The following is a 17,616-nucleotide window of genomic DNA, read 5'->3' as shown; positions in this document are numbered from 1 at the left end:
TAAAGTTAACTATAGGTTGTACGTAAAAACTGGTTCTTTCATTTATGCTTTTAAATAACCATCTATTTAATTCATATACATGTAGTTTAGTGAAAGCTTGACTTGGTAGGATACAAGTAGGAAACGATTTTATTATTATTACAAGATGGTTCATTACAAACTCTTTCTATCACTTGTTTTTCTCCTGACACTGGAAAAAAAAAAAAACTGAGACATGTATCACATATTTTTCTGGTTATTTTCAGGTACTACAAACTTCTTCTGCCACTGGTAGGTAATAAAACAAAAATAAATAAATATTTTCTAGAGATTAAAAAAATTTAAACCCAGTGTAATATTGGAAGTCTCATTTGATTTGAAATTGTTTTCTTCCCCTAGTTTAGTCAACATCCGAATGTGGACAGGATGCCTGCACTGAAGATAGGAAGGCATAATTGGTTATCTCTCTAAGTGTTTCCTCACTTCTTAATTGCTGTTTAGATGCTCTAGGATTACAGAATGAAGAATCAAGGACAGAAAATATTTTACTCAACTAATGCAACAGGCATAGCTGGTGTTGTTGCATTCTTGAAGGAACAGATATAAAGGCTGGCTTTCTTTCAGGGAAGTGTTTTTATAAATTATTTTACTTTTTTTGGCTTTGGCAATTTTTTTAGAAAACTATCATGAGAGAGGCTCTTTCTCATAATTTCATTGATTTAAATTGTGAATAATGTCTCCTCCAGATGGCCGCTTAAAAATTCCACTACAGACTCCTAGATTTTGGCAGCCTTCTCCCTTTTTCAGGTCCCCCCCCAACCCCACCCCCTTTTTTTTTTCCTTCTAGTAGTCCTATTAGGCAGAGGCGTTTTAGAATAAATCAGTTTGACACCTGGCTGCTTTCTCATTGCCCTATCATTTGGCCCATGAGAAATACAAAAATATTGCTGTCCCAATATGTTTTGAATACTCTTGGAAGTGTTCTGTATTCTGACCTACCACAGGGGTACATTTAGTATTAGACTCTTCAGTCATGATTCAGATACCAGTACCTGTCTCTCAGATTCCAAGGAACACATTTCAAATTCTCCAAAACAGTCCCCCACTGATCCTCCTTATTTGGTGTCTCTTCTCCTTCCATAGCACTCTCTCAAGAAATCCTTATTACCATCAACCTCTTAATGAAGTGTTTGTTCTGTCTGTAACTTGGAAGGGAGTGGAACATGATGTTTTAACATTTTTAGGATATGTCTCAAAATCTTAGTTGAAGGGTAGTTTTATGTCTTACTTTATAATATAGGAGTATTTAAAAACTGTTGAGTTTTTCTTGACTTTGTGGCACCTTAGCCAAAACCTTATGACTAAAATAATCACACTTCATATTATTTTGCCATTACATATGAAGGAATAAGGAATAACTGTTATGAAACCAGGCTTTCAAATTAAACTACATGAAGTAAAACATAAATCCAGTCATTTTGCTTTTACTTAATGCCATAGTGAAAGAGTAGGTATATCCAAGAGTGTTCATAGCAGCAGGTTCGAATGAGTAAAAACCTGAAAACAACTTAAGTGCCCAATAGAAGAATGAATAATTATTTACAGTTTACAATGAAATACATTATGGTAATGAAAATGAATTAATTAAAGCTATATCATTAATATTTATAAATCATTATAACATAATTTTTTTATTATTATACTTTAAGTTCTGGGTTACATGTGCAGAACGTGTAGTTTTGTTACATAGGTATACACGTGCATGGTGCTTTGCTGTACCCATCAACCTGTCACCTACATTAGGTATTTCTCCTAATGTTATCCCTCCCCTAACTCCCAACCCCCAAAAGGCCCCAGTGTGTGATGTTCCCCTCCCTGTGTCCATGTGTTCTCATTGTTCAACTCCCATTTATGAGTGAGAACACACGGTGTTTGGTTTTCTGATCTTGTGATAGTTTGCTGAGAATAATGGTTTCCAGCTACATCCATGTCCCTGCAAAGGACATGAACTCATCCTAGTTTTAAGAGGAAAAAAGCTAAGAAAGAATATGCTCAATAAGTTTCCATTTTAAGAAGATCAAAAACATATGTCTAAAGTATTAAAGGAAAAAAGGAAATAATTTTTAAAGTATAATACAGAGTAGAATGATGGTTAACAGAGACTAGGAAGGGTAGCAGAGGTGGGGAGGGGGTACTGAGTATGGTTAATGGTCGCAAAAATATAGTTAGGATGAATAAGATCTAGTAATGGCTAACCCAACAGCGTGACAACAGTCAACAATTATTTCTTGTATATATAAAAGTAACTAAATGAGTGGAATTGGAATGTTCCTAGTGCAAATAAATGATAAATGTTTGAGATGATGGATACCCCAGTTTCTCTGATTTGATTATTACATATTCTGTGCCTGTGTCAAAACACATGTACCCCATAAATATGTGCACCTACTATGTACCCACAAAAATTAAAAAAGATACAGTAGATTACTGATTATCCCTGGATTAGGAAGATAAGAATGAAATACGTACTGAGAGAACTTTAGTAGCTTGAGCAAAGTTCAATTTCTTAAGTTGAGTGAAATATTCATGGATGTTTATTTTATTATTTTGCTTTGTAAGTTATGAATATATGTTCTTGTCTTTTTGTGCAAATCAAATATTTTCTAATATTAAGAAGACAGACCATCGACCATTTTAAAAAACAAACAACTGCAAGAAGAAAGACACACGCAAAAATAGGTCCATCTGTTGCTAGTTCTGTTCTTTTGGGTGAGTTATTAAACTTTTCTAGACCCCCCTTTCTCTATCTGTGAGATGGAAATAATGGGGGTGGTTGTGAAAATTAACAATAATGCAATTAAAGTTATCATAATTATAATTAGTAAGTGTGTATAAAAATGAGTTCAATATAGTCAAGTATATTCAAATATATTTAGTGTATAATTCATTTTTAAGTATAGTAAACTGATAGCAGCTATTTTAATACCTTTTGGGCATAAAATACATGAATCTTTACTTTTATCATATTTTAATGATCCATGCAAAAGTTACAATTCTTTTAAGAGTTTAATAAAGAAAGAGAAGCCTAACCTAGGTTTTTTTATAGTATGCCTACGAGAATTTTATTTTTACAACTCTCTATAATTTACATTTTGAAATCCCTTATTTCCAAAATTATAACAGTGATAAATAAGGTTTCCCAGAGAAATGCAACTAGTTTCTCTGTTCCCAATTTTTAAAAAATGTTAGAAAGATATAGCTTCAATAGTGTGTTTGATCATCATGCTAGGAAAAGATTTTTGAAAAATTATATTTTATTTTATTTTTATTGAAGGGAAAGCACAGTCATAAGGACCAGTAGAAGATTTTCCAAAGTTATATGACATGACAGAGAGAGTTCAGAATCCTGATTACCTAGCTCTTCTCACTGTATTTTTATCACCTATTAGTTTCAACCGACATCAAATGCCACCCAGTTAATATATTCCATCCAGTTTATTATTCAATTACCTTTTTTCTCAAATATTGATCACACAGGATGAGCAGCACTAATCTAAGCCCTGGTAGACACAGCCATATCTCTAAGGAAAGAGAAAAAAGAAATAACCAGAGAGGAGAAGAGAAATTAAATAAGACTAAAATTTTACAGATTTGTGAATTTGGCAGAGCAAGGATAAAGGAGATGACTAGAGAAATGAAAAAGAGGTCTTCTGAAAAGATATTTCTGTTGAAACCATGAGGGCTAGTAGCTGTTAATTATTCAAAAAGGAAACGGCAGCCCATTTTATACTTATTTTAAGTACCCAGCAATATTTGTTGAGTGTTTATTATAGATCAGGTGCTGTTCTAAATTTGAATATTGAATTTGGAACTGTGAGTAAAGCAATTAAATTTGCCTCATTATACAGCTTACATAAATAATGATAGGTATACATACAATAAATTAATTAACAAAAACACATTACATTTGTTATGTGGTTTTAAGAACTATGGAGGAAAAAAATAAAGCAAAGTAGAAAGATTTGAGAGTTCTGATGGAAGGAGATGGATGTTAATACTGTGTCATATAGAGTAGCCCTTATCAATACAGAGTGACAGTCAAGGTCAAATCCCTGAGGTTGGAACACGGGTTCCAGTAACTGAAACAGGACAAGCCAGGGGTATCTGAAGGTGATTAGGTCAGAGAAGAATGCAGGGCCAGATCATGACTAGGCCAGAGAAGAATGTAGGGCCAGATCATTCGTGGAGCAATGATGGACTCTGTCTTGTACTCTGAGCTAGATAGTTCCCATTGATGAATCTTAAGAAAGTAATACGATCAACTTTACTGATTAAATGATCACTTTGCTGACTGTGTAAAGACTAAACTGTGGGGACGGTGAGATGATTTATGAGTGGAGGGTTGGGCAGCTAATGAAATAATCTAAATAAGAGGTAACAGTGGTTTGGACCAGGATGTGGCGGTAGATATGGATGTGCTGGGAATATAGACATATTTCATAAACAGAGCCAAATACAATAGTAAGGACTAGACATATAGTATTACAGACAGAGGGAAATCACAATTTCATGGTATTTGGGTCACACAAACTGAACTGAGCAAGATGAGGGAGACTGCACATTTGGGGGCTGGGTAGAGTTGTATTCAGTTATATAGGTTTAAGTTGCCTATTAGCCAATCAATTGGAGATGAAGAGTGGGCAAATAAATACAGAAATGTTGAGGCAAGAGGGGATAAATATTTGAACGTTGTAAGCTTAATGAATTATTTGATGCTATTTAAAACCATCATCCTAGATGAAGTCACCTAGGGAGTGAGTACAGATAGAGAGGGCAAGAGACCCTGGGGCTCAGCTCTTTGTTACTACAACATCTAGAGACTGAAGAAATACAGAGAAGCCAGTAAAGAAAACTTTAAAAAGGAGCCAGTTAAATAGAAGAATGATGACTTTTAAAAAAAAAATTGAGATACCTAGCGGTTTAAGAGGTTAAGAAACTCTATCAAGATCAAATGAGTCCATGACAAAGGTTAAATTACAACAAATAGTAAAATTATATTTTTTATCAAGTGGATATAAGGCTGCATAAGCACCTTTTAAGAATGCTGTAGAACACTAATCTGTCAATAATATTTGAGGTCATATTACATAATCTTCAACAGAGTGTCTCTTACAGAGTACCTATTGACTTTAAGTCAACATTAGATTTTGCTTTCTTTCTCAATGTACTTACAGATTTAGGATTAAAAGTCAGATTTTGAAAATAAATTGTCTTTATAGTATGCAATAATTTAATAATTATACAATTTTCAAATGAAAATTTTTCATATACTCAAGATTTTTCTGTTTTTCTACTTGACAGATGTTTTAGTTTATCTTCTTTTTTATTATTATTATTATACTTTAAGTTTTAGGGTAAATGTGCACAATGTGCAGGTTAGTTACATATGTATACATGTGCCCTGCTGGTGTGCTGCACCCATTCACTCGTCATTTAGCATTAGGTATATCTCCTAATGTTATCCCTCCCCCCTCCCCCCACCCCACAACAGTCCCCAGAGTGTGATGTTCCCCTTCCTGTGTCCATGTGTTCTCATTGTTCAATTCCCATCTATGAGTGAGAATATGCGGTGTTTGGTTTTTTGTCCTTGCGATAGTTTACTGAGAATGATGATTTCCAATTTCATCCATGTCCCTACAAAGGACATGAACTCATCATTTTTTATGGCTGCATAGTATTCCATGGTATATATGTGCCACATTTTCTTAATCCAGTCTATCATTGTTGGACATTTGGCTTGGTTCCAAGTCTTTGCTATTGTGAATAGTGCCGCAATAAACATACGTGTGCACGTGTCTTTATAGCAGCATGATTTATAGTCCTTTGGGTATATACCCAGTAATGGGATGGCTGGGTCAAATGGTATTTCTAGTTCTAGATCCCTGAGGAATCGCCACACTGACTTCCACAATGGTTGAACTAGTTTACAGTCCCACCAACAGTGTAAAAGTGTTCCTATTTCTCCACATCCTCTCCAGCACCTGTTGTTTCCTGACTTTTTAATGATTGCCATTCTAACTGGTGTGAGATGGTATCTCATTGTGGTTTTGATTTGCATTTCTCTGATGGCCAGTGATGATGAGCATTTTTCCATGTGTCTTTTGGCTGCATAAATGTCTTCTTTTGAGAAGTGTTTGTTCATATACTTTGCCCACTTCTTGATGGGGTTGTTTGTTTTTTTCTTGTACATTTGTTTGAGTTCATTGTAGATTCTGGATATTAGCCCTTTGTCAGATGAGTAGGTTGCGAAAATTTTCTCCCATTTTTTAGGTTGCCTGTTCACTCTGATGGTAGTTTCTTTTGCTGTGCAGAAGCTCTTTAGTTTAATTAGATCCCATTTGTCAATTTTGGCTTTTATTCTACTTTTTTTAGAGGGCTGTTTTAAAACTTGAAAGTCGTATATCCCTTTTTTCTCTAGTTTTTCTGAAACGATTTCTGTTGGCCCTTACTATTTTCTTTAGTCTTTTATCATTTGTCTCCCTTTCCTTTTTGATATTTCAATTTTTAGATAGTTATTTTTGTAGTTTAATAGTAGGCATCTTAATCATTAACAATCTATTTGAATTAATACCCATTTATTTTGTAGTCAATTTTTATAGAAAATCATAACCTAACATCTATTGTCAAGGTATTTTCACATTTTTAATAAACTGTTAGATATCTGGACTAAGGGAATCATGAGCTCTAATATTTGCATAAGCATTTATACGAGGATGTTAGTTAACCTTAGAAAGTTCTATAGGGAATGTTGATGAAACACATTGTAACATGGGTGGCATCTATCCTGTTTATAAAACGACGCTAAATAGAGCATTGGACAATGTTTTCTTAACCAGTGTTTCTCAATCTACCTCTGCTGAGGAATTTTGTTTTTCAATGTGTTGTTTACCAAAACTTTGTGAAATAGAGCACAAATGAACTACTAGAAAATAAATAAAAATACATATAAAATGCAGTCTTGATTTTTATTATTATGTTCGATGGACATGAAGTTATTGGCCAAAGTTCTATAAAAACTTTTCAAACATTTGTTCTCATTTGTTCAACTAATGTTCATTGTGGGTACTGGTCTATAGACCACGCTGTATAGGAAAATACTTCTACAAGGTCCCCTCTCCTTGAATTGCCTTTAGAAACACCGAATTTTAGAAGAATATGTTACATAATATTATTAGAAATTATTTTTTAAGGACCTGAAACCCATTATATATGACTTTATAGAAAGACATGCTGATAATTGCAGTACCAGTGTAGTGAGGAATACCAGGAGGTGTTATACCATTGAACAGGGTGTGTGTTTTCTTTCTGCCAAGTAACCAGTAATTATTATAATGGAAATGCCTTTCATCATAATATGCTTCCAATTTGTTTTAAACATCTTTCTCACAACAATCCTGTGAGGCTGACATGATTTTTCTTACTTTATAAGAAAACAGATACAGAAGTCAAGTGAATTTCCAAGATCACAGATCTCATAATTGGCAGCAGTAGTGCCAGAACTCAGGTTTTCTGCCATCTGTTCTCCTCCAGGTTGATGTAATCGTTATCACTTTGTTATGAAATTTGAATTGAGGAGACAGTGAAGCCAATTAACAGAAGAGAGAGGCTGCGAAAAGGGATTTCTTTATGACGTTTTGGTGTATTCTTGCTGCATATAAGGGGGGCCTCAGGCTAATGAGAATGACTTAGGGTAGCATTCAGGCTGTTGTAGTAATTAATGCAGAGGTTAAGCCAGGATAATTCTTGGCAATACTATGGTGTTGTTTTCCCTTGGGAAGAGGTCCAGGGCTGACATTGTACTACACAAACATAGGCCTCCAAGTAGAAGTACAATTCCTAGGTTAGGACAATAGATTTAGTTAGCTTTCCTGGACACAAATCTGTTCTTTTTTATTTTCCTCATTGGAATAGATTTTTAGGAATTTCTATAATAGGTTCAGCTCTATTTTGTGGCTAAAGGGACATAATGGAGTGCAAGTTAACACAAGATTTCGACATTCACCAAGATGATGCTTTATTGGTTTTTTTTGGTGTTTAACTAAACCATGAGATAAGGAAGAAAATATAAACTTGGAGGAAAAGCTGACCCTTAACCAGAAATTATAGTGGTTGACATTGGTGACTTGCTAATAGGGCCGATATAGTAGGTAATAATTAATATACTGGTGTGTTTGTGTGTGTGCCTGTGTGTGTAAGGGAGGGGTTAGCTCAGCTATATGAGTGATGCCAAATACACCATGCTTCAAGGATGCTGTATTAAAGATATTACTTATTTTAACAAATAAATGCAACTTGAGAGGGAGTCAATTCTGCAGTGTATTAATTCCTTAACATCTTATCCTTAATCAGGTTCTCACCTCACTGAAGCAAGACTGGTAAATAAGTTTTGAAGATGAAGATAAAACAGAATAAATTAAGGAAGAAAAAAAAGAAGAGGAAAATCTCCCAAACTGGCCTGTCTTCAATGTTCCTTTGAACTGTCTCTCCTACTGCACTCTTTACATTTTAATGACTTGAGTGTTTACCATTTATGCAGGAACATACCCTTAATGTGCTCAGAAGTGATGCGTACCTTCTATACATGAGACAGACCACCCAGCAAAATACCAATCCAGCTTAGGGTCTGTGAAGTATTATCCATTTGTCTAAAATGTACTGTACTAAACCTTATAATACTTTGTTAGCTGGTTATGTCAAATTCTCATTGTAATATAAAGATTTAAGTAAAATATGAACAAATTGACAATATCCAATACCAAAAGGCCATAAAAACCTTTTTCAGAAATATAACAGACTTACAGCCTTGCGTAGGTCAGCAAAAATGGTATGTACCAGAGCATAGTTATGAAAATTTAAAGAAGTGTATATTTCTTCATTTATTCTGTACCCGTTCAACATTGTGACAAGCATAACAGATTTACAATTCTTACATACTTTTTGCTATATTTCCCCTCTCAATATGATGTCATTCCATTTTTTTTTACAATTTTTACAAATGAAGACAGAGGCAGCTTATTAAGACCAACTACTCCCAGGTTTATTTGTGAAGAAAGTAAGACTCACCTGTGCAGGTCCAGAAATGTTTTATTTTTCACAGAAGCATTAAATTTTGGTACTAATGGGAACAAGAAAGATTATCTCACCTTGTCAGTTATTAGATGCAGCAATACTAAAACAAATTTAAACTGGAAGATTTCCTTCTCAGGGTTATAACAAATACTAAATTAGGTTATGTGTTTTGTTGTTCAGAGGCATACAAATATTTGTATATAATCATTAGGGTGCTGGCATTGATGGGATTAATTATGCATATTACATTACTTAATCATCTTCACATGTGAATCTATTAAAATGATATAAATTGAAATAATATTAAACATAATGCTGGATGTGAGCAGCGAGCATCAAAGTAGAGGAATCGGATGCATATATGTGTGTATAAATGTATGTGAATTCATATGTATACACATACACACAAAGAGAGGAGTTGGTAAGAGACAGAGAAATGAGACAGAGCTTTAAAACATGAGAAATCATCTCATAAAAGTGCTTATTTTAAAAATAAGGACATTTAGGCTATGAGAGAGTACAATACTTGACCAAGGTCCCAAATAACAGCCTGTGTTAGTATGCCCACTTAATGAGAATGACAATGAGGTATGGAGAGGAGAGAGAGCAAAAGAGAGAGAGAAAGAGAAAAGAGAGAGGTGGAGACTGGAGTTTGGGACTGGGGGAATTTAATCATGGTTGTAGAAGTATAATTAGCATAAGAACATTAATTATATGTTGTCATGTTATAGAAGGTTTTACAAGTACTAATACTTTATTTTATGCCTGATTTAGTCAAAGATAATTTTTACTAAGTCATAGTCTTACTTATTTTGCATAGACAATGGTTTTTAAAAATATGCATCTCAAAAAATCTTGTTTGAATTTATTCAAAGAAATTACATCTTCTGGTCTCAAATACTGGCATTCAGAATCATGCATTTTAAAAATGTTCAATTATACTTTAAATTTAGTAACTATAGCATTATATTGATCAAACATATTTGATGATTTAGGCTATAATTTTTAAAAATGCAGTAACTCAGGGTCATTATTAGGAATTAAAACCCACATTTGTGGCAGGTTGTAGACTAACTGATCTATTTAGTTACATTTGGATCTGCATTTGGGTCCATTCTTGCCCTTTCCCTTTCATGCCACTGCCTGCTTAATTTTCCTCATCAGATATTTTCTCACAGAGCAGTCCCTGAACAGGATCACATGAAATACTTCATAATTTACTGATTTTATTTACACTTAACAAAATATACTCTCTCAGGTGTGGGGTTTAAAATTTTAGCATAAATTTCTTAGATAATACTAATACTGGAAAGAATTTGTGACGTCTCCTTCTAGTAGATATAAACGCTACCAATTCAGTTATTTTTATTAAGTAGTGAAAGAGAAAGAGAGAGAAGAAGAGAGACAGAGAGAAGGAGAGGTAGAAGGAGAGGAAGGAAGGAAGGAAGGAAGGAAGGAAGGAAGGAAGGAAAGATAAATTTAATATAATGCTTTTCTGGCTATTATTTTCATTTTACAAGACAGGTGAAATGGAAAAATATAATGCTCAAAGATGAATTTTTATTTTGTGAAATTTAGTGTTTTTAACATACAAACTAGTCCTAGATTATTATTCAAGGCAGATTTCAAATTTCTCAATATTGAAAATTTTTGATTGACAGAATGACAGATAAACCAATTGTTTCTGACAAGACTTGTACAACATCTTATTTTTTTACAATTCTGAAGATTTTGTAAAATGCCAATTAGTGCTCAAATCCCATTAGTAAATTAATTAGAATGTAGTTAAAATCTGCCACAGAGATTGTAAAACAAATCAAATAATGCATCACTATCCACTCTTGATAATAAAGAAATTTTCATTTGGCTCAAGGGAGTTGGCACATTACTAATTAGTATTAATTCAGTTGTTCTTTGTTGTTTAAGAATAAATTTAGTATGACCCATATCATTTCTAAGAAACAGAAATTAAATAATTTATTCCTCCTTCTTTTACTGATTCTCACACTTACCTTTTTGTTTCTAACTACAGGCTTTTAGAGATATAAACCAGATCAAATTTTTGCATATTGTCTTTTAAATCCTAGCATGACTTTGTATCAGTTAGAATAGCTTAAGTAGAAACTATTAAAGCAAATTAAAATGAAGATCATTTTAATGAAAATCCCTGAGCTAACCAAGCCACTTCGGCCTTGAAAATAACTTTAACCTTGCTTAAGTTGCAAATATAGGCAGAAAATGCGGGTCATTTCTTGTAAATGCCTATATTAAAGAAAAACAGAACTTAAGCTTAAACCAATAAAAGGAAGCCAGATAACATGATTACAGAACTAGGGATTTTTCAGTGGGATGGAGCAAATAAGGCAATTTTATGATGCTTATCAGTTAAACATTTTCTTTGTATTACCTTCTGATTCATTCTATAAAAGTATATCCCTTATGCTTTTTCAATGGCATTGAAGAACCACTTCTTGCTTAGAGCTGCCCTATTCATGAATTACTGTTTGTTTAAATACATTATATAAATTATATTTACCTCAGTTTATCTTTTTAACACAACTAACAAATATTCTTAATTTGACTTGCTTTGAAAAGTATTGCATTTATTATCTCACATAGGTGGAATCTCACACATAGTGACATTTTCAGGCAGGTTGACTAAGTGGCTCATTGTTTTCAAAGACCCAGGTTCTTCTCATAAATCTGAAATCCATTGGATTAAATTCACCTAAAAGCTTGTTCCTCTCTTGATTTCAAGATAGTGTCTATCACTGCTACAGGTTTTCTTACTCATCATGCAACATTAAGGATAGCCACAAATAATTTGATATTTCTCCCTCTTGAGATGAATTCTATGTACCATCCCCTTGAATTTGGGTGAGATCTATGTCTATTTGAACAATGGAATATGGCAAAAGTGAATCTGTGCTTTCTCCTAGACCCAAGCCCTAAAATACTGGTAGCTTCTACTTTGTCTGTCTTTGAACACTTGCTTTTGCAGCCCGATGGCCATACTGTGCAAAAGTCTAACAAGCCCCAGAACAGGCCCCCATGAAGAACAACTGTGGCTAGCTGAACTCCCAGGGAACAGCCCACACTATCTAATGATTCATGTAAATTACTATCTTAAATGTGAATCTTCCATTCCCAGTCCAGCTGCCCAGCTGATGCCACATGGAATGGACACGAGTTATCCTCACATTGTCTTGCCCAGATTACTGGTTTGTGAATTAAATAAATGACCATTGTTTAAACCATTGCTTTGTTCTTGTTGTTGTTGTTGTTTTTTTTAGTGGGAGGGAAGAAGTGTTTGTGATGCAGCAATTAATAATCAAAACAGTCATATTTCTCAATAGATGGAAAAATGTAAGTCCTTATATTCAGTGTGATGGGACAAACATAGTCCTACTGCTCACCCCCTGAGTCACTCAGGAAATTCCAAAGCCAACTGTCTTTACCTAAACTAAGTCTACTGCTAAAGTTGAGATGAGGTCAGTTTCCACAGATACACATGGCATATGGAGCAGTGCTAGGTTCAGTAAGGAGGAAGACAATCTGCAGGGTCCACTGCTAACTATATACTTTCTTTTAAAAAGAGAAAATTTTCAGATACTATTATTTAAGACAGAGATTTGAAACTTTTATAAATTGTCCTTAGGTTGTAAAGATAAAGAGAGACTATTAGAGCAAATGTTAATTCATCAAAGAGCATGTTAAAATTGAGGCTCCACCATTTGAGGCCTTTATTCTAAGAAGACAGATGATTCAGAGGCTTACTACAAGATAAAAACGAAGACATTTAATGGTTATCTCTTAAAAATATGGGATGAAAAATGTCTGAGCCCTTATGCAAAAAAAAAAAAAAAAGCTGGCTTTAAAGTGAATTTTGAGAACATTCCTTCTGCAAAGCAGATACTTGGTGCTCCACACATACTTCCCCAATAATCCAAGGGTAGACCACAAAGAGTGAGATGGCTAAGTTCCTAGACTGGTATACACTTTCTACATGACTTTAGGAAAGTTGTCTAACTTTATGAGCTTCTTTTATCTATTTAATAATAAATTATTGAGCAGTTAGGCTATACCAGGCACTGTACCTTCATCCATAAAATGAAAATATGCATATTTCTTTTTTTTTTTTTTTTGAGACAGAGTTTCTCTCTTGTCGCCCAGGCTGGAGTGCAATGGCGCCATCTCGGCTCACCACAACTTCCTTCTCCCAGGTTCAAGAGATTCTCCTGCCTCAGCCTCTCGAGTAGCTGGGATTACAGGCATGCACCACCACGTTTCGGCTAATTTTGTATTTTTAGTAGAGACGGGCTTCTCCATGTTCGTCAGGCTGGTCTCAAACTCCCGACCTCAGGTGATCCGCCCGCCTCAGCCTCCCAAGCATACATCATTTAAAAGTTTCTCTAAAAATTATATGAAGTCCTCTTTGTAAAAAAAAAAAAAAAAACAAAAAACAAAACAAAAACTACTTTTATAACAATGTTTGATTATAAATCACATATTTTAAATTTCTGTATAACTATAGATGGAGATAATAATAGCAGAAAGCCAAGTACACCTTCAAGGTTGTACAAAATGTTTTAACCGGTAGCAGATTCAAAGAGGAAAGAAATCCATTATTATCAAAGCAGAAGATAGTCCACACACTAAGGGTACTGTGAAATAACAGAGATGGCTGGAGCCACCTTTACACACAACATGAGAATCTGAAACCAAGTGGTTCATCCTTCTGTTACCCATGTAAGAAAGAGGCTATTGCAGATACTATAAAACAAATTCCATTACCTTGAATTCTAAGAGGCTGCGATTATTTTAGGCTATAACAAAATTACTATTAAATCAAGTATTTTTAAAATAAGTCAACTGAAAATTGAGAATACTTTATAATTCTCTGATTTTAACTAACTTTGTCAGACTAAAGAACAGCCAGAACTAGTGTCTTTAAAATCTTTTTTTAAATATAGATTTTATTTTTCAAATTGATCTCAGCTCTGTTCCAAATGACTCTGGTCTTCGGGACTGACAAAAAAATCGTGGAGAGTTTTCCATTTTAGATGACAGGTTTTTTTTATTTATGTAAGCCTTTATGCTCTTTCTTACAGGCTTTTCATAATTTGCCTATTGCCCTTTCATTTGTTCATTCATTCATTCGTTGATTTTACACTTACTTATGAGCATTATGCTATATACTGAAGAAATTTTTTTAGTAAGGAACCAAACTATTTCATCAGCTTTTAGGGCATGAGGTATGTAATTTTAATGCAATATCCATAATGGAATGAGCGAAGTGACTTCACAGTCTACATCTGCCTCATTTATACCCAGATTGTAATTTTCCTTGATTTCACATTTAATTTAATCTGGATAAATGCCGTAAGTAGAAGTTTTGACTAGCATTAGAGTTACTCTACAGATGCAAACATACACATACCATATGTGTATATAATTTTCATTCATCTTTGTTGCAAAAATATTAGGTTGATCATTTTCTGTTATAATCTACTACATGATTCCTTGAAATGTTTTTCAAGGGAAATTTAGCGTTATTTAACAATATCTGTTTTTTTTTTTTTTTTTCTGTAACTGAGAAAGAAAGCCCTTGACCTCCCAGGTAATCTTTTCTTATGCAGTGGCTGTAATTCGTCACTCCTGAGTAATTTAGATTGAAACAACAGCAAGTGGCTTTGAAGAACTGTGCTGGGCAATAAAAGGTTAATTTCCTCAAAATGGAAATCTCTAGCTGTCCCTGTGATAACTGAGAGGGCTGCAGAGATAAGTGTTTGCGTGGCGATGAAGAGAATATTCTGGGCATTAAATGAGAGTTTTGATAGGTTTATTTGTGACCATGTTTACTACAGGGATGGTAAAAATGAATTAAAGAAAAGTGCACACACCATACTGAACTTACCTGCTCTTGATGATGAAACCCTTTGGATTTTATACTGTAGGCTTAACCAGCAGTACTCCCCAAGGAAATAACTACTCCGAAGAGCTCTTTTGCCCAGTCAGTTATTGAATTTTGTTCACATATGGAAGAACAGAGCTTACCATGAGGAGGCCACCTCTGCGGCAAGTGTCTGTTTTAAAGGAAGATTCAGGTTCAGGTCCCTTACTAGTCCTTACTAGCTGAGAAACTTGAACACGTTATTTTGAAACTCAGCTTTGTCATCTGCAGTAAGAATGTTGGTGGTACTATTATGAAATCTAGAGGTGTTTTACACTCCCCAAAATGCAGATAAAAATGAGAGCAAGATTGCCCTAGCATGAAGAGAAATGAAAGGCACCGAGATTGGGGATTTACAGTTTATATTTAAACACACTCGAGTTTGAGTACTACATCTGTGTCTTACTGATGACATCGACTCAAGTCTTGTTAATTTACCGGTCTACAGTTTAGTTTTCTGATCTGTAAAATGTTGGCTTTTAGCAGGATGGTTGAGAGGATTCAATAAGATAATTAATATAACATGATGAGAATGCTTTCTAGCACATTGTAAGCACTTAACAATAAATGTTAACTAATAGTAGCTATTTTATTTATTTCAATTAACCAAAAGGTTAATTAAAAGCAAGAAAGCAAGGCCTCCTCTCCCTCTCCCTCTCCCTCTCCCTCGCCCTCGCCCTCTCCCTCTCCCCACGGTCTCCCTCTCCCTCTCTTTCCACGGTCTCCCTCTGATGCTGAGCCGAAGCTGGACTGTACTGCTGCCATCTCGGCTCACTGCAACCTCCCTGCCTGATTCTCCTGCCTCAGCCTGCCGAGTGCCTGCGATTGCAGGCACGCGCCGCCATGCCTGATTGGTTTTCCTATTTTTTTGGTGGAGACGGGGTTTCGCTGTGTTGGCAGGGCTGGTCTCCAGCTCCTAACCGCGAGTGACCTGCCAGCCTCAGCCTCCGGAGGTGCCGGGATTGCAGACGGAGTCTCGTTCACTCAGTGATCAATGGTGCCCAGGCTGGAGTGCAGTGTGGCCTGATCTCGGCTCGCTACAACCTCCACCTCCCAGCTGCCTGCCTTGGCCTCCCAAAGTGCCGAGATTGCAGCCTCTGCCCGGCCGCCACCCTGTCTGGGAAGTGAAGAGCGTCTCTGCCTGGCCGCCCATCGTCTGGGATGTGAGGAGCCCCTCTGCCTGGCTGCCCAGTCTGGAAAGTGAGGAGCGTCTCTGCCCAGCCGCCATCCCATCTAGGAAGTGACGAGCGCCTCTTCCCGGCCGCCCTGCCATCTAGGAAGTGAGGAGCGTCTCTGCCCGGCCGCCCATCATCTGAGATGTGGGGAGCGCCTCTGCCCCGCCGCCCCGTCTGGGATGTGAGGAGCGCCTCTGCCCGGCCGCAACCCTGTCTGGGAGGTGAGGAGCGTCTCTGCCCGGCCGCCCCCTCTGAGAAGTGAGGAGACCTCCGCCCGGCAGCCGCCCCTTCTGAGAAGTGAGGAGCCCCTCCGCCCGGCAGCCACCCCATCTGGGAAGTGAGGAGCATCTCCGCCCGGCAGCCACCCCGTCCGGGAGGGAGGTGGGGGTCAGCCCCCACCAGGCCAGCCGCCCCATCCGGGAGGGAGGTGGGGGGTCAGCCCCCGCCCAGCCAGCCGCCCCGTCCGGGAGGGAGGTGGTGGGTCAGCACCCGTCCGGCCAGCTGCCCCATCCGGGAGGTGGGGGGCGCCTCTGCCCGGCTGCCCCTACTGGGAAGTGAGGAGCCCCTCTGCCCGCCCACCACCCCGTCTGGGAGGTGTACCCAACAGCTCATTGAGAACGGGCCATGATGACAATGGCGGTTTTGTGGAATAGAAAAGGGGGAAAGGTGGGGAAAAGATTGAGAAATCGGATGGTTGCTGTGTCTGTGTAGAAAGAAGTAGACATGGGAGACTTTTCATTTTGTTCTGTACTAAGAAAAATTCTGCCTTGGGATCCTGTTGATCTATGACTGTACCCCCAACCCTGTGCTCTCTGAAACATGTGCTGTGTCCACTCAGGGTTAAATGGATTAAGGGCGGTGCAAGATGTGCTTTGTTAAACAGATGCTTGAAGGCAGCATGCTGGTTAAGAGTCATCACCACTCCCTAATCTCAAGTACCCAGGGACACAAACACTGCGGAAGGCCCGCAGGGTCCTCTGCCTAGGAAAACCAGAGACCTTTGTTCACTTGTTTATCTGCTGACCTTCCCTCCACTATTGTCCTATGACCCTGCCAAATCCCCCTCTGCGAGAAACACCCAAGAATGATCAATAAAAAAATAAAAAATAAAAAAAAATAAAAGCTTAGTTGGTGAGTCAAGAATGAATGGAAAAGAAAAAATAGTTACAAAGGCCAATGTTACTCATGTTGTTAAGAACTGAAAATGTCATCCAGGGCAACTCAACATCTTCCTGGCAGCTAGATCCCTATATAGAAGGTGATTACATCAGGATATGTAAGTCTGATGTTGTGAGAGATTTGAATACTCCACATAATACCCCTTTCTTTTGTTATCATCCCCAGGCAGCCATCTATTATCTGACTTTCCAATGGTTTGCC

The 17,616-nt window shown here is 36.7% G+C and overlaps 2 long non-coding RNA genes across 4 annotated transcripts in view; one reads left to right on the top strand and one right to left on the bottom strand.

Moving 5' to 3' along the window:
• The window catches only part of LOC105374558 (uncharacterized), a 62,953-nt gene extending 53,809 nt beyond the window's left edge, over positions 1–9,144 (top strand). The window contains exon 3 of the long non-coding RNA XR_925528.3: positions 8,389–9,144. This is a non-coding gene — a long non-coding RNA (uncharacterized LOC105374558). The remainder of the gene's footprint in view (positions 1–8,388) is intronic.
• LOC105374557 (uncharacterized) overlaps positions 1–17,616 on the bottom strand; it is a 485,690-nt gene that overhangs the window by 71,655 nt on the left and 396,419 nt on the right. The gene's annotated exons all lie outside the window — the stretch shown is intronic.

This window comes from Homo sapiens, chromosome 4 (assembly GCF_000001405.40).
Source record: "Homo sapiens chromosome 4, GRCh38.p14 Primary Assembly".
Classification (NCBI taxonomy): Eukaryota; Metazoa; Chordata; class Mammalia; order Primates; family Hominidae; genus Homo; species Homo sapiens.
The sequence above is the reverse complement of the archived record's forward strand: the minus strand, read 5'-3'. Positions and strand labels throughout refer to the sequence as shown.